The sequence below is a fragment of the Homo sapiens genome, chromosome 16 (assembly GCF_000001405.40).
Source record: "Homo sapiens chromosome 16, GRCh38.p14 Primary Assembly".
In the NCBI taxonomy this organism is placed as follows: domain Eukaryota; kingdom Metazoa; phylum Chordata; class Mammalia; order Primates; family Hominidae; genus Homo; species Homo sapiens.
The window spans coordinates 14,614,871-14,631,649 of record NC_000016.10 but is presented as its reverse complement, the minus strand read 5'-3'; the positions used below and the strand labels follow the sequence as shown (position 1 = coordinate 14,631,649).

Below are 16,779 nucleotides of genomic sequence, written 5' to 3'. Positions count from 1 at the left end.
GACTACAGGGGTGCGCCACCACGCCAGGCTAATTCTTTGTATTTTAGTAGAGATGGGGTTTCACCGTGTTGCCCAGGCTGGTCTCGAGCTCCTGGCCTCAAGCAATCCGCCTGCCTCGGCCTCCCAAAGTGCCAGGATCACAGGCGTGAGCCATCGCATCCGGCACTAACCAACTTTTCATAGTTGGCTTTTGTGAAAGACCAACCTGAATGTATTCATTCAACCCATGCTTATTGAGTGTCTACTACGTGTCAGCCCAGTGCTAGGCATTGGAGAACAGCAACCCCAAACCAACATACAATTCCATTAGGGCCGGGCCTCATATGTTGCACTCGACATAGTATTCCCAGAGGCTAATGCAGTAGCTAAGGGTCTCAGCTTTGCTTTCCGTGATCACCTAAGTAACAACCCCTATTATTCTTTTAATTTAATTTAATTTTTTTTTTGAAAACAAGTCTCGTTCTGTCACCCAGGCTGGAGTGCAGTGGCGTGATCTCGGTTCACAGCAACCTCCGCCTCCCAGGTTCAAGAGATTCTCCTGCCTCAGCTTCCCGAATAGCTGGGATTACAGGCGCGCACCACTGCACCCGGCTAATTTTTTGTATTTTTAATAGAGACAGGGTTTCACCATGTTGGCCAGGCTGCTCTTGAACTTCTGACCTCAGGTAATCCGCCCGCTTCTGCCTCCCAAATCGCTAGGATTACAGGCATGAGTCACCAAGCCCAGCCAATTTTTATATTTTTAGTAGAGACAGGGTTTCACTATGTTGGCCAGGCTGGTCTCGAACTCCTGATCTCGTGATCCGCCCGCCTCGGCCTTCCAAAGTGCTGGGATTACAGGCATAAGCCACCGGGTCCGGCCTAATTTTATTTTTTTAAGAGACAGGTCTCACTATGCTGTCCAGGCTGGTCTCGAACTCTTCAGTTCAACGGATCCTCCCGCCTCGGGTTCCCAAAGTGTTAGGCTTACAGGCGTGAGCCACCGCACCCGGATCCCATTATTCTCTATTACATCGCCCCGCTCTTTTTCTTAATAGCGATTTTCATGTGTTACCAAATGGCAAGTTTCACTCCTGCCTGAATTTCCCCTTACCCCAAGTTTAAGCTACAATGGGGCAGGGAGCACGTCTTCCTGTTCATCACTGTATCTCCACCCCTGTAAGAGTGGCTAGCATATCACAGAAACCCAGTCAGTATTTCCTGGTCGACTGGATGTCGAGACATGCACATTTTTTCTACTGAAGTGAAAGCCCGCACAAATTAGGCCACGCCTTGGGGACTTCGATAGCCACGCCCCTCCCCTGTCCCTATAAGGAGGGAAAGGAGCCCAGCCTTGGCCCCGCCCCCGCCGCCGCGCAGGCGCTGACGCAAGCGCAGCAGGCGCGCGCTGTTTCCGGAAGTCGCGGCCGGCGTCACCGCTGCGGCTGCCTCAGCTACTGCCGCAGTCGCCGCGGAATTCGGCGAGTAGAACCGCTGAGGCGGGCGCGGGCCCGGGTGGGGCCAAGGTTCCGGCCACTCTGCAGAATGGAGATAATCAGGAGCAGTGCGTGTCCGCCGTACACCTCCCCGCCTCCCCACACCCGGCTGCCCCTGGCCTGCTAGGCCGAGACCATGGCCGGCGTGTTTGGCTGGGCCTGGGGCTGAGGCAGCCCCTCAGGGCTTTTCCCTCCTTAAGCCGGTGCGCCTCTTGGGGTCTTTTCCGGCTGCGGACCGTGCACCCTAGGAGCCTTGTACTTACTCCTCCAACCCCGGCACCATCCGGGGCCTTGTCCTTCTCCGGGCCGGGCACCCCCCGGGGCTTGTCCCCCCTGACCCATGCACCCCTCGAGGACTTGATTCCCCTCGCCCCGGTGCACACCTCCGGGACTTTTCCCCTTCCGGCTCTCAGCCTCGGGAGCTCCTCGGCCCTCCTTCCCTCTCCCCTTAGCAGGAATTCAGGCCACTGGTTCTGAGCCTCTTTTCGGTTTCTCCGCAGATTTTAAGAGTAATCTTCACAAAGTGTACCAGGCCATAGAGGAGGCCGACTTCTTCGCCATCGATGGGGAGTTTTCAGGTATCCCTCCCTTGCAAGCTCAGGCTAGCACTTTGCAGTGCATAGCCAAGGCTCCTTCAATCCCCCAGCCCCCAACTTCTTATGCTTGGTGGTGGCCTCTTGCTGTTAGTAGCCTTGGGCGGGTTTCACAGGTCTCAGTGTTACCCTTTAAACGTTTCAAAAGCACGAAAGAAATGAAGATACGCCGTAGGTTTGTGATTGGACTCAGGATCTCAGATAGAGATGATGGTTTTGATGCTGCTTAAAACAGTGCGGCGTGTACATTGCAGAGAGCTTGAGGATTAGGGTCAGACTGTTTTTTTTCTTGATTGTAAAATAGGTATAACATGAAATTTGCCATTTTAAGTGGCTTTACAGTTAAGTGGCATTAAGTACATTCACATTGCTGTGCAAACATCACCATCCATCTCTAGGACTTCTTCATCTTCACAGTCTGAAACTCTTTACACATTAAACTCCCCATTTCTCCTTTCGCCCAGCCTTTAGCAACCGCCATTTGTCTCTGAATTTGACTGCCCTTAACATCTCATATAAGTGGAATCTTACAATATTTGCCCTTTTGTGACCGGCTAGGGTCAGGTTTTTGCAGATAAATGAGATATTTCTTTATGCATTAGTGGACGTGTTCATTGCCTGCCTCAACAGGTGTGTATACAGGAAATACTTCACTGACACTTAAAGTTGCAAATTTTTTTTCCCCTTTTTTAGGGGGAGCAAAGACTAGTTTTTAAATTGCTGATGTCAATATGAACGGTTCACTCCCTTTGATATGGATATCCATTTTTGCTGTCTGATTTTCCATGTTTGAATCATGAAGGAATCCATGCAGGGGTAAATAGTATCCTTGGCTTTAGGTAGTGTCTAGTTGGAATCACTTCCCTAGGAAGCTAAGAGTTTTCACTTAGAGAAATAATTTTCTCTTAATCTTGAAGATACATTCTTTGCATAGATATTAACCACTCCAAACTCTTGACCAAGACTGGAACTCTGGCAATAATATACTTAGGGATTTATTGATGTCTGTTTATACAGGAATCTTTTAAAGCAGCAAAACTTATTCAAGCATAGAGATTGTTTTCTTACATGATTACTGTGTTTTAAGTCATGTTTTAGACGCTGGAACTGCCTATTCTCATGTTGAAACATTCGCATCTCTAAGTTCATTATTAGAGGGTTTAACCTGGTGGCCACTGAAATTAATGCTTATTTTAAAAAAGTAAGTTAGGGAGTGCTTCCAAGTAACCTTAATTCGTGATACGACATTATAGAGGCACTGAATGATTGACTGGCATTTTTACGTTAGTATTTATTAGTAAGCTAAAAATTTTTATTTCTTAAAATCTAGGAATCAGTGATGGACCTTCAGTCTCTGCATTAACAAATGGTTTTGACACTCCAGAAGAGAGGTATCAGAAGCTTAAAAAGGCAAGTGGATGTGCTAGGAAATCTTTTTCTTTCTCATGTTAGTCTTCCTTATGTTAAATGATAAATATTGTTACTAAACTTGTGCATTAAGGTTTTGTAAGTGCAGTATTTTCTCCTCAAACCTAGCCATGAAGTGATTTTTTTTTTTGTTTTGTCTTGTTTTAGAGACAAGGTCTCGCTCTGTCACCCAGGCTGGGGTGCAGTGGCGTGATCACTGCTCTGTGGAGCCTTGAACTCCTGGCTCAACTGATTCTCCTGCCACAGCCTCCCAAGTAGTTGGGACTACAGGCGCAAGCCACTGTGCCCAGCCAATTATTATTATTTTTTTTAATTTTTACATATTCTTTTGTAGAGATCGGTCTCACTTTGTTGACCAGGCTGGTCTCGAACTTCTGGCGTCAAATGATCCTCCTGCTTTAGCCTCCCAAAGTGCTGGGATTACAGGTGTGAGCCACCACACCTGGCCTTAAAGTGTTATTTTAATGATATTTAAAACAGCAAAAATAATTGTTTGCTGGAAAATATTTTGGGGAAAGTTTAGCATTTTCAGTGTTAATTTGATTCATAGGAAATATGAGGCAGTTATTTTAATCATTTGGAAATAGACCTAATATGATTCTTTGGATGATGGATAAATAGGTCCTTAAATGGGAAAAGTATTATGAAATGTATACAAATTAATAATGCTTCTGATTCATATGTGTAATCTGTTCTAATTGGAAGTATTCTGCTGAAGTCTCATTGAGTAATTCAGAAAGCCCACCTGTTTGAGAATGCTATGCTCACATGGAATATGCAGCACTTTTGTGACAGATGTTTTATTTCCCTTTTCCAGCATTCCATGGACTTTTTGCTATTTCAGTTTGGCCTTTGCACTTTTAAGTATGACTACACAGATTCAAAGTAGGTTGTGTTAACAAACGTTGGGAATTCCGTTTTTGTGGCACAATGTCACCTCCTAAGTCTCCTTTTATCTTATCCCAGGTATATAACGAAGTCATTTAACTTCTATGTTTTCCCGAAACCCTTCAATAGATCCTCACCAGATGTCAAATTTGTTTGTCAGGTAAGTAGCATAATTGAGATTTTTCTTTTCTGAATTGCTGATGAGGCAGCATGGAAATGTGAAATCAGAATTTGGTTCTCTATTAACTTTGGGCTTTGGGGCAAATCATTTCACCTTTGACCTTCAGTTTTAGGGTAATAAATTCATGACCCTGTTATCTCCTCCTTTGCTGTAGAATGAATTAAGGAGGGCCAGGTACGGCGGCTCATGCCTATAATCCCAGCACTTTGGGAGGCCGGGGAGGGCGGATCATGAGGTCAGGAGATCGAGACCATCCTGGCTAACATGGTGAAACCCTGTCTCTACTAAAAATACAAAAAAAAAAATTTGCCGAGTGTGGTCATGGGTGCCTGTAATCCCAGCTACTTAGGGAGGCTGAGGCAGGAGAATGGCGTGAACCTGGGAGGTGGAGGTTGCAGTGAGCCGAGATCACGCCCCTGCACTCCAGCTTGGGCAACAGAGCGAGACTCTGGCTCAAAAAAAAAAAAAAGAATGAATTAAGGAATAAGATGCAGAGACAGACAGACAGATATGAGAACATGAGGTTTAGTAATTCTAAAGCTGAATTTGAGAACATAGTTTCGTAACTCCATTTGGGATTTTTATTATTTTACCCCCAAGTTGAACCACCTACACATCAAGACTTGCAGGCTTCTTGGCTGGATGTGGTGGTTTACACCTGTAATCCTAGCAGTTTTGGAGGCCAAGACGGGAGAATCACTTGAGCTCAGGAGTCTGAGACCAGCCTGGGCATAAAATAGTGAAACCTCATCTCTATTTTAAAATAAAAATTAAAATAAACAAAAGACTTGGAGGCTTCTCCCTATCCTCACTCATTCTCCTCGCATCCACTCTGAGGGTGTAGACCTTTATTTTCTGGAAAAGCAGAGTATGTGTGTATCCTATGCAAAAAGAGAAAGCGCAGAAGGGGTTCAAGTATTTATGCTGACTTCCTTTTCTCAAGCTCACTAATTAGGAAAGGGGGGTAGAAAAAAAAACTACTGTTTCTCTTGAGGAGAAGAGAGCTTAATTGATGGGTCAATATTAGGGAGGTTCTCCTTCAGGATATTCCCTCTAGAGGTGTTGTAGCTGACCTGGTAGACACTCAGTAAATATCACTGTTTCCTTTCTGCTCTTTTGATTATCTGTTGTAATGGATAAGGAGAATGTGAGTAAGGGGTATGGTTGTGTGGCTATGTGATTAAAGATAAGTCTTAATCTTTTCTCCCTTAAAATCTTGCATCCTATCTTCTCTCCCACTAAAAACATGAATTCATTTGAGTCTTGCCATCTTTCCCTTCTCTTGCAGATTAATGGTAATGCAGTTATGAAAGCCTCGAGGGTAGGCTTCAAGTGATTGAGTTATGTCAAATTCTTTCTCAAAACTGGCAGTATATAAACAAATGAAATCGAGAGTTAATCATATGCTTATGGGCAAAAGAGAAAAGGTGAAGGTTAAATTCTGGTCTTATAGACAGTTTCCTAAATTAGCAAGTAAACCAGTTGACATTTTACCTTTACCCTGCAATCAGTTAATAGCTATTTGTCAATCACCGTGGTATGGGATACTTAAAGAGTATTTATAAATTTTCTTTTCTTTTTTTTCTTGAGATGAAGTTTCGCTCTTCTTGTCCAGGCTAGAGTGTGATGGCATGATCTAGGCTCACTGTAACCTCTGCCTCCTGGGTGGAAGCGATTCTCCTGCCTCAGCCTCCCGAGTAGCTGGGATTACAGGCATGCACCAAGATGCTCAGCTAATTTTGTATTTTTGGTAGAGGTGAGGCTTCTCCATGTTGATCAGGCTGGTCTCGAACTCTCGACCCCAGGTGATCTGCCCGGCTTGGCCTCCCAAAGTGCTGAGCCACCGCACCCGGCCTTACAGTTTTGTTTTGTTTTGTTTTTTTTTTGGTAAATTTTCATTGAGGGAAAAGTAGGCTCAGTTGGGAAATTTGTGTGGATATAGTTTTCTAGCAGTACCAGCAACACAGAATTATTTAAAGTGGGTTCCATGGCTTTGGCCAGGGGTTAATCAAACAAAAGCAGAGGGTGGCAATGAGACACCTTGGGGATGGCACTTTGTTCTTTTTTTTTTGAGATGGAGTTTCGCTCTTGTTGCCCAGGCTAAAGCCCCGGGTTTAAGTGATTCTCCTGCGTCAGCCTCCTGAGTAGCTGTTATTACAGGCATGCACCATCACGCCGGCTTATTTTATATTTTTAGTAGAGATAGGGTTTTTCCATGTTGGTCAGGCTGGTCTTGAAATCCCGACCTCAGGTGATCCTCCCATCTTGGCCTCCCAAAGTGCTGGGATTACAGGCATGCACCACCACACCGGCTAATTTTATATTTTTAGTAGAGATGGGGTTTCTCCATGTCGGTCGGGCTGGTCTCAAACTCCTGACCTCAGGTGATCCTCCCACTTTGGCCTCCCAAAGTGCTAGGGTTACAGGCGTAAGCCACCACATCTGGCCGATGGCACTCTGTTCTAAACAACCAAGACAAAACTGGTTATTTTGAGAAATGTATTGGAAACAGATCAGAGGAACTTCACCCATTGTACAAACCATGATTGTACACCTGGAATACTTAATACAGTTGTAGTTGCCAGCCACTCCTTTAAAAAAAGCTATCATAGACTTGAAGATAGCCCAGAGAGTAATGTCTAAAACAGATGAATAAAAATGCCGGGATTCTCTAGTGTGGAAAAGCAAAGGCAGAGAAAAGGTTTAGACTCTAAATTTGGGAATTGTATGAAAAGGTTAATGTATTTTTGGATTTTCTTTGGTCTCTCATTTAAGGTTTTTGTTTTATTTAAAATTCTATAGTTGTAGCAGAGTTGCATACAAGGGCATTAGTTTCTGGAGTTATTAAGTAGGGTGAAAATTGGGTCAAAATCTCTCTCAGAAAGCTCTTATCACCCTTAAAGCATATAGGATTTGAGGATACAACAATTTAATATGTTCTTTAAAAAATAAGACCCTGTGTGCGCAGTGAGATGCTCCCATATGCTTGTCAAGATGTGGAGGAATGGGCTGACAGAACCACACTCACACCCAGAAGAGTGTGTTTGTAGAATAGTAGGGCAGTCAGCATAGCATGACATTTACATCATTTTTGTCTTCTCCTTTTTCTTTTCTTCCTCTTCCTTTTTCAGGCTGAAGATCTGTAGTTGAATTCATAGAAGGTATTTTATATATATGGTTGTGAAAAATTGAAGCATAACTGCTGTATGTAGAGTAACAGATGTGTTTCTTTTCTTTTTTTTTTTTTTGAGATGGAGCCTTACACTGTCGCCCAGGCTGGAGTGCAGTGGTGTGATTTCGGCTCACTGCAACCTCTGCCTCCTGGGTTCAAGCAATTCTCTTGTCTCAGCCTCCTGAGTATCTGGGACTACAGGCACCTGCCACCACGCCCTGCTAATTTTTGTATTTTTAATGGGGACAGCGTTTCACCATATTGGTCAGGCTGGTCTCAAACTCCTGACCTCAGGTGATCCACCCGCCTTGGCCTTCCAGTGTGCTGGGATTATAGACGTGAGCCATCGCGCCTGGCCAGATGTGTTTCTTTTTTTTTTCTTTTCTTTTTTTTTGTTTTTGAGATGGGGTTTTGCTCTGTTTCCAGGCTGGAGTGCAGTGGTGCGATCTTGGCTCACCACGACCTCCACCTCCTGGGTTCAAGCGATCCTCCTGCCTGAGCCTCTGGAGTGGCTGGGACTACAAACATGTGCTAACACGCCCAGCTAATTTTTGTATTTTTAGTAGAGACGGGGTTTCACCATGTTGGCCAGGATGGTCTCGATCTCTTGACCTCGTGATCTGCCCACCTCGGCCTCCCAAAGTGCTGGGATTACAGGTATTAGCCATGGTGCCTGGCTGTGTTTCCCTTCTTATATCCTTTTCCCATGCCACTTCCTTCCCATTTTACTCCTTTTTTCCTAGCTTTTATGTACATGTATACATATAGACATATGCCTAGACACACATACATATTAGCTTTTTTTTTTTTTTGGAGACAGAGTCTCTGTCACCAAGGCTAGAGTGCAGTGATGTTGTCATGGCTCACTGCAGCCTTGACCTCACCAGCTCAAGTGATCCTCCTGCCTTAGCCTCCTCAGTAGCTGGAACTACAGGCACATGCCACCATGCCCAGCTAATTTTTGTATTTTTTGTAGAGCCAAGGTTTTACCATGTTGCCTTGGCTCGTCTTGAACTCCTGGGCTCAAGCGATCTGCCCACTTTGGCTTCCCAAAGTGCTGGGATTACAAGCACGTACCACTGCGCCAGGCTTACATTGTAAAAAATGGGCCGGGTGTGGTGACTCACTCCTGTAATCCCAGCACTTTGGGAGGCCAAGTCGGGCGGATCACGAGGTCAGGAGATTAAGACCATCCTGGCTAACACGGTGAAACCCCGTCTCTACTAAAAATACAAAAAAAATTAGCCAGGCGTGGGGGCGGGCGCCTGTAGTCCCAGCTACTCGGGAGGCTGAGGCAGGAGAATGGTGTGAACCCGAGAGGCAGAGCTTGCACTGAGCCAAGATCGCGCCACTGCGCTCCAGCCTGGGTGACAGAGCGAGACTCCGTCTCAAATATATATATATGGAATCCTAATTTCACATTTTATGCAACTCGCACTTGCCACTCAGCAGAATGTCTTTTATTTCGTAGTATGGATACGTATAATTTGTTTGATCAGTTAATTGAAATTTGGAGGCTTTCCAGTGGTTATCAGCAATTCTATAGTCAACATCTGTGTTCAGTATATCTTTTTGTATGTGTAAGAATTTTTTTGTATTGTAGATTTCCTAGAAGGAGAGTTGTTGAGACATAGGATATATGCATTTAAAGTTTTGATGGATGTCTCAAATTGTCCTCCCAAATATCTGTTCTCATGTCTTGAATCTTTTTATTTTTTTTGAGACGGAGTCTCACTCTGTCACCCAGGCTGGAGTGCAGTGGCACTATCTTGGCTCACTGTAACCTCCACCTCCCGAGTTCAAGTGATTCTTCTGCCTCAGCCTCCCAAGTAGTTGGGTCTACAGATGCGTGCCACCATGCCTGGCTAATTTTTGTATTTTTAGTAGGGACAGAGTTTCACCATGTTGGCCAGTCTGGTCACGAATTCCTGACCTCAAGTGATCCACCCGCCTTGGCCTCCCAAAGTGCTGGAATTACAGGCGTGAGACACTGCTCCCAGCCTCATCTCTTCAATCTTGAACATGTTACATTTATGACAAATCAAAGGTAGTGGCTAGTAAACTCCAAAAGGTTTTGTTAGTTCAAAGGTTTTTTTTTTTTTTTTTGAGACGAAGCCCCTGTCGCCCAGGCTGGAGTGCAGTGGCACGATCTTGGCTCACTGCAAGCTCTGCCTCCCGTGTTCACGCCATTCTCCTGCCTCAGCCTCCCAAGTAGCTGGGACTACAGGCGCTGCCACCATGCCCAGCTAATTTTTTGTATTTTTAGTAGAGACAGGGTTTTCACCGTATTAGCCAGGATAGTCTTGATCTCTTGACCTCGTGATCTGCCTGCCTCGCCTCCCAAAGTGCTCGGATTACAGGCGTGAGCCACCGTGTCTGGCCAAGTTCAGAGGTTTTCTTAAAAATTGTGGTAAAATATATGTAACATAAATTTTACTATTCTAACCGTATTTAAATGTATAGCTCAGTGGCATTAAGTACATTGACACTATTGTACAACCCAAAGAGTGTTGTTTTGATTAGAAAATAAGCAGCTTCAGGAAAGGCATAGATGACTCTGACTTTGAATTCAGTGGGATAAAGGAAAGTAGGATGTTTTGGTGTCTAGTACTAGAAGGACAAAAATGCCTTCCACAGTTTGTGTTTCAGTGCCTTTGTCAGAGATGGAATGTTTAGGTGGGCAGAGTTATAAGAACACTCCAGCCATGGTAGACAGAAGCCCACAGACCAATCAAAATACATTGAGTCTTGGTTCTTGGTTCAGGACAGGATTAAAAAAGAAGTGGGGGTAGGGAAAGATTGCTTGTTGTAAAGTATAAAAGCCTGGACACGATGGAAGTGATTTGCATGTGCTTCTATTTGTTTGTGTGTTTTTCTGTGTTCAGATTGTCTTTTTATATCTCACCATTTCAAAACGATTTGTTTTGGTTATTAAAGATATATACGGTATTTACCTTTTAACATAAGATTAAAAAATTAGTAAATGAAAATTTGAAAGAAAAGAAAAATGATACAATCACTATGGTATGAATAGAACACAGAATTTGTGCCAAAGAAAGTGTAATTTGTTTGTCCCTGAGCTTCCTAGTAGCAAAGAAAAGAGGGAAACACAGTCATTCCGTGGTCCATAGGATTAGGACAATCCAGAACTCAGGATTAGTATAGCTTTCCCCAGAATAGAGACCTCAGAACATTTACCCTTGAATTATAAGTAAATGATTACTGTAGAAAACCTGATCTTCAATCACATCTCTGAAGTCAGTACTGTGATAAGTTTAATGGAACTGTTTGTTACCATGTCCTTCAATCTAGACTGATGGCATAATGTCAAAGTACAGTGCAGGAAAGGGACCAGATGAAAATGATTCAGATGTGTAGCCTGCTGATGTTCTGACTTGGCCAAGAATAAAATTAGAGTAGCTACAGTAATGCTTATTTCTTAAGTTCATTTGAGTATGAACTCCATAATTTTGCCGTGCTTGTGTTTCATCTATAGTATTGTTCACTTAATACAGTGTTTTTTGTTTTTTGTTTTTGAGATGGAGTCTCGCTCTGTCGCCCAGGCTGGAGTGCAGTGGCACAAACTCAGCTCACTGCAAGCTCCGCCTCCCTGGTTCACACCATTCTCCTGCCTCAGCCTCCCGAGTAGCTGGGACTACAGGTGCCCACTACCGCGCCTGGCTAATTTTTTGTATTTTTAGTAGAGACGGGGTTTCACCATGTTAGCCAGGGTGGTCTCGATCTCCTGACCTTGTAATCTGCCCGCCTGGGCCTCCCAAAGTGCTGGGATTACAGGCATGAGCCACTGTGCCCGGCCAGTGTTTTTTTTTTTTTTTTTTTTTTGAGACAGAGTCTTGCTCTGTCACCCAGGCTGGAGTGCAGTGGCATGATCTCGGCTCATGGCAACCTCTGCCTCCTGGGTTCACACCATTCTCCTGCCTCAGCCTGCTGAGTAGCTGGGATTACAGGCGTGCACCACCACGCCTGGCTAATTTTTGTATTTTTAGTAGAGACGGGGTTTCACCATGTTGGTCAGGCGGGTCTCGAACTCCTGACCTCTTGATCCGCCTGCCTCAGCCTCCGAAAGTGCTGGGATTACAGGCATGAGCCATCACACTCAACCTGTTTTTTGTTTTTTTTTTAAGAGGCAGAGACTTGTTCTGTCACCCACGCTGGAGTCCAGCGGTGTGATCACAGCTCACTGCAGACTTGAACTCCTGGGCTGAAATGATTTTCTGATTCTCCCACCTCAGCCTGTGGGATAGTTGGGACTACAGATGGGAACCACCACACCTGGCTAATTTTTAAATTTTTTGTAGAGATGGGTCTCCCTATGTTACTCAGGCTGGTCTCGAAGTCTTGGGCTCAAGCGATCCTCCCACCATCTCCTAAAGTGCTGGGATTACAGGTGTGAGCCACTGCACCCAGCCTAATATATACTTATTTTAAAATAATTTTATTATTATTATTTTTAATTGAAATGGGGTCTTGCCATGTTGCCCAGGCTGGTCACACAAACTCCTGGGCTCCAGCGATGCAACCACCTCAGCCTCCGGAAGTGCTGGGATTACAGGTGTGAGCCACCATGTCCAGCCCAGTCTAATGTTTTTATTTAAATCTGGGAACATATTTTGGCTCATGCTAGGTTCGAGATATATTTGTTTCGTAAGGCTTATTATTGGGAACTTTCCTTTTGATCTTTTTTGTTTTGAGGCAAGGTCTCACTTTGTCACTCAGGCTGGAGTGCAGTGGCATGATGGTAGCCCACTACAGCCTCAACCTCCTCACCTTCCATACTTAAGTGATCCTCCTACCTCAGCCCCTGGGTAGCTGGGACTGCAGGCATGTGCTACCATGCCTGGCTAATTTTTAAATTTTTTGTGGAGATAGGATCTCACTGTTTTGCCCAAGCTGGTCTTTAACTCCTGGGCTCAAGCGATCTTCCTCATTTGGCCTCCCTAAGTGCTAGGATTACAGGTGCGAGCCACCGTGCCTGGTTTCTCTTTTGATCTTCAACATTGAGAACATTTAATTAAGATTTTGGGCTTTCATTATCTAATTTGAGGTGGATGTCAGTGTCTTATAACCTGTGCATGTGCCTGTGTTAAACTTGAACCTGGGACAGGGTAATAAAATACATACTAGTTCTATTTATAGTTTCCTAGTCAGTACTGCAACAGTCAAGCGATCAGGAGCTTTCTGCCTATTGGGAGAATAATCCGTTCGCCCAGTGGAATATTTTTTTTTTTTTTTTTTGAGACAGTCTTGCTCTCTCGCCTGGGCTGGAGTGCAGTGGCTCTCTCGGCTCACTGCAACCTCCACCTCCCAAACTCAAGAAATTTTCCTGCCTCAGCCTCCTGAGTAACTGGGATTGCAGGTACACACCACCACACCTGGCTAATTTTTTTTTTTTTTTTTTGAGACAGAGTCTTGCTCTGTCACCCAGGCTGGAGTGCAGTGGCAGTGGCATGATCTCGGCTCACTGCAAGCTCCACCTCTCGGGTTCACGCCATTCTCCTGCCTCAGCCTCCCCAGCAGCTGGGACTAGAGGCACATGCTGCCTCGCCTGGCTAATTTATTTTTATTTTTAGTAGAGACGGAGTTTGACCATGTTAGCCAGGATGGTCTTGATCTCCCGACCTCGTGATCTACCCGCCTTGGCCTCCCAAAGTGCTGGGATTACAGGTGTCAGCCACCGCGCCTGGCACACCCGGCTAATTTTTGTATTTTTAGTAGAGACAGGGTTTCACCATGTTGACCAGGCTGTTCTCAAAGTTCTGACCTGCCGGTCTCGAACTTCTGACCTCAAGTGATGTGCCCACCTCTGCCTCCCAAAGTGCTGGGATTACAGGCATGAGCCACTGTGCCGGTCTACCCAGTAGATTTTTAAAAAATATTATGAAGTAGGCTGGATGTGGTGACTCACATCTGTAATCCCAGCACTTTGGGAGGCCGAGGCAGGAGGATTGCTTGAGTCCGGAAGTTTGAGACCAGCCTGGGCAACATAGTGAGACCCTGTCTATAAAAAAAAAATTGTGAAACAAAGGATGTTTGTTTTGTAAGCTATAAAGGAGAAGAGCCCAAATGTTTTAAGCAAGTTAATGGATTGTTTGTGGAGTAGAAATTCCTTGTATTGTGACCTCTGGCACATCGCTTCCTTCCCATATTGTCTTTGTTTTCTTGTTTGAGTTACTTCTCTGCATCTCTTTATATTCCTGCCGCTAACATCCCCAAAACATGTGTTCTGTTTACTCTGTTTCAGAGCTCCAGCATTGACTTTCTAGCAAGCCAGGGATTTGATTTTAATAAAGTTTTTCGAAATGGTAAGATTATGGGTAACCTATCTTTAGAGCTTATAAACCTTCAAAATATCCTTGGGAAGTAAGTCTGAACTTGGTTGAGAATTATTATTTTGTGCCTGCTGAGACACAGTCTTAGAGTTCCAGCATACATGTGCAGCCAGTACACATATGCAGCCTTAGAATTTTTAAAAACTTGCTTACTGTGATTTTTTTTTTTTTTTTTTTTTTGAGAAGAGTCTCGCTCTGTTGCCCAGGCTGGAGTGCAGTGGTGTGATCTCGGCTCACTGCAAGCTCTGCCTCCCAGTTTCACACCATTCTCCTACCTCAGCCTCCCGAGTAGCTGGGACTACAGGTGCCCGCCACCACGCCTGGCTAATTTTTTGTATTTTTAGTAGAGACAGGGTTTCACCGTGTTAGCCAGGATGGTCTCGATCTCCTGACCTCGTGATCTGCCCACCTTGGCCTCCAAAAATGCTGGGATTACAAGTGTGAGCCACCACGCCTGGCCTACTGTGATCTTTTTTTTTTTTTTTTAAAAAAAAACAAAAAACATAATCAGCCATGAGCTAAACAGAATAGATACTACTTCATTTAACTCTGATAAGGCCTTTCAAACTCCTGTTTTTATCGAGTGCAGTTTATTCTACCACTGGCGTGATATAGTGGCCTAACTCACCACCTGTGGGGAGTGCTTCCTTGTTTTCTTCCAGTGTAACAAGAGGTATGTAGTTTAGAAATGTCCTGTATTCCACTGATGCTGTAATGAAAACCCTCTTTTCCAGCTAGTGCATGTTTATGTTTATTTTATTTTTTATGTTTATTTTTTATAACCCCTCTGCTGGCAGGAATTATTTTTAATTTTTTTTTTGAGACAGGGTCCCACTCTGTCACCCAGGGTGAGTGCAGTGGTGCAATCATAGCTCACCGGAGCCTTGACCTCCTGGGCTCAAATGATCCTCCCACCTCACCCTCCCAAGTAGCTGGAACTACAGCTGTGCACCAGCATGCCTGGCTGATTTTCGAATTTTTTGTAGAAATGGGATTTCGCCATTGCCCAGGCTGGTCCCAAACTCCTGTCCTCGAACAATCCACCTGCCTTGGCCTCCCAGCCTGCTGGGATTACAGGCATGAGACACCACACCCTGCCTACCTGTTGCTTTTTTAGTAGTTGGAGACAGTTTCTTAGTTTCTTATGGGAGAAGAAAAGTGCAGAGACTGCACGATTGATAATGGCTAACTTGCTAGAGTGATGGCCTGGGGAGCACCTGAGGAAGGGATTGTGTCTTGTTCTTTTCACATCCCCTTGCATAGCATGATTTCTCTTCTACATCAGGGAGGTGACCACCAAATATTTGATGCATAAATGGGTGCATGACTACTGGACATTAGAACATTTCAGATTGGTTTTCCTTCCTCTCCATTTGTTTCTCTAAAAGTGTTTGGAAAGACTGTGCTTTTTGCAGTGGTATTAAGTATGTACAAGGTCAATATTTTAATTTAATTATTTACATAAATTTTGTTTTTTTTCCCCCATGGTGAATGTAGAATTAATGAATGAAAGAGGGAAGGAGGTTTATCCCAACAAAAATAACTGAACTTTTCTCAAAAAAAAGTACATGGACTTCAAATGAATTCTCCTATTCTCAGCAGAACCTCTTTGCAAGGTGTTTAGTACCCATGCCATATTGGTGGTGTTTTTTTTTTTTTTTTGAGACAGAATCTCACTGTGTCGCCCAGGCTGGAGTGCAATGGTATGATCTCGACTCACCGCAGCCTCCACCTAACAGGTTCAAGTGATACTCGTGCCTCAGCCTCCCGAGTAGCTGAGACCACAGGCACATGCCACCACGCACACCTAATTTTTGTATTTTTAGTAGCGATGGGGTTTCACTATGTTGGCTGGGCTGGTCTTGAACTCCTGACCTCAAGTGATTCACTTACCTTTGCCTCTTAAAGTGCTGGGATTACAGGCATGAGCCACCGGGCCTGGCCCATATTGTTTTTTAATTGTTTCAGTGATGCTGCATCTTAATTTTTACTGATTTTGATCTTCGGAGGTAATAAAAACAAACTTGTTTTGAGCCAAAACTGCTTCACATAGTGACTGAACCAGCAGAGCAATACAGTTTGGGTATTATAAAGAATTTTTTTTATTCGTCTCATACTTGACTCTGAAAGCCATTATAAAATATAAGTTCCAAATGCATTTAGAGCACTATATTGGACTAGTGGCAGCATCTCTTGAAGGAACCACTTTATCTGGTACTCATATGGATGCATAGTTCTAACTTGTTTTTTTTTTTTTTTCCCATAAAAGAAGAGAAACAGCCAGATTGGAATGTGCCTCCTTCTTCTGTTTTATAGTCATGCCCTGGAATATTTTAGTCACGATAGTCAGGACTCCCAGGTCATCCATACTACCAAGCCTCATCCCATGCCGTTGTTGATATGCTCTAAATCTGACTTAGACCCTCATCTCTCTCCATTTTCAAGGCTTTCCATTCAGGCTCTGTAAATGTCAGGCCCTTTCTTTACGGCAGTCTTCTCTCAAGTTCCTTTTGATTTCCTTGTCTGGAGGGAAACCAGGTGACTCCTTGTTAGTTTCCCCCTGTAGCCTTCTCCATCCCCGGTGGTTTTCCCTCTCACTCTTGTCTTCCTCTGGCCAGGCTGTGCTAGGTGTCCTCCTTGTTTCCCCACACCACCTTCAGACACCTGAATTTTCTTTTCTTTTCTTTTTTTT

At 44.3% G+C, this 16,779-nt stretch overlaps 1 protein-coding gene across 13 annotated transcripts in view, besides 3 other annotated features; it reads left to right on the top strand.

The window, feature by feature from the left end:
* Positions 854–1,376: an enhancer, noted in NCBI's record as "NANOG-H3K27ac-H3K4me1 hESC enhancer chr16:14724131-14724653 (GRCh37/hg19 assembly coordinates)". NCBI's record gives its function as "activates a minimal SCP1, AML or CMV promoter by ChIP-STARR-seq in primed H9 embryonic stem cells {active_cell/tissue: H9 hESC(primed)}" and the evidence as "EXISTENCE:reporter gene assay evidence [ECO:0000049][PMID:30033119]".
* Positions 1,377–1,898: an enhancer, noted in NCBI's record as "NANOG-H3K27ac-H3K4me1 hESC enhancer chr16:14723609-14724130 (GRCh37/hg19 assembly coordinates)". NCBI's record gives its function as "activates a minimal SCP1, AML or CMV promoter by ChIP-STARR-seq in naive H9 embryonic stem cells {active_cell/tissue: H9 hESC(naive)}" and the evidence as "EXISTENCE:reporter gene assay evidence [ECO:0000049][PMID:30033119]".
* Positions 1,390–16,779, top strand: part of PARN (poly(A)-specific ribonuclease) — a 194,560-nt gene continuing 179,170 nt past the window's right edge. For 8 of the 13 annotated variants that reach the window (XR_007064883.1, XR_007064882.1, XR_007064881.1 and 5 more), the window contains exons 1-6: positions 1,390–1,543; positions 1,976–2,053; positions 3,399–3,478; positions 4,314–4,381; positions 4,463–4,544; positions 14,000–14,060. Coding sequence is in view for 9 of the 13 variants with exons in the window: in NM_002582.4 (NP_002573.1) it covers positions 1,525–1,543; positions 1,976–2,053; positions 3,399–3,478; positions 4,314–4,381; positions 4,463–4,544; positions 14,000–14,060 (388 nt within the window). In the remaining 4 variants the exon portion in view is untranslated. The remainder of the gene's footprint in view (positions 1,544–1,975; positions 2,054–3,398; positions 3,479–4,313; positions 4,382–4,462; positions 4,545–13,999; positions 14,061–16,779) is intronic. The other 5 variants (XR_007064884.1, NM_001134477.3, XM_047434184.1 and 2 more) reach the window with 2 other exon arrangements.
* Positions 1,899–2,422: an enhancer, noted in NCBI's record as "NANOG-H3K27ac-H3K4me1 hESC enhancer chr16:14723085-14723608 (GRCh37/hg19 assembly coordinates)". NCBI's record gives its function as "activates a minimal SCP1, AML or CMV promoter by ChIP-STARR-seq in naive H9 embryonic stem cells {active_cell/tissue: H9 hESC(naive)}" and the evidence as "EXISTENCE:reporter gene assay evidence [ECO:0000049][PMID:30033119]".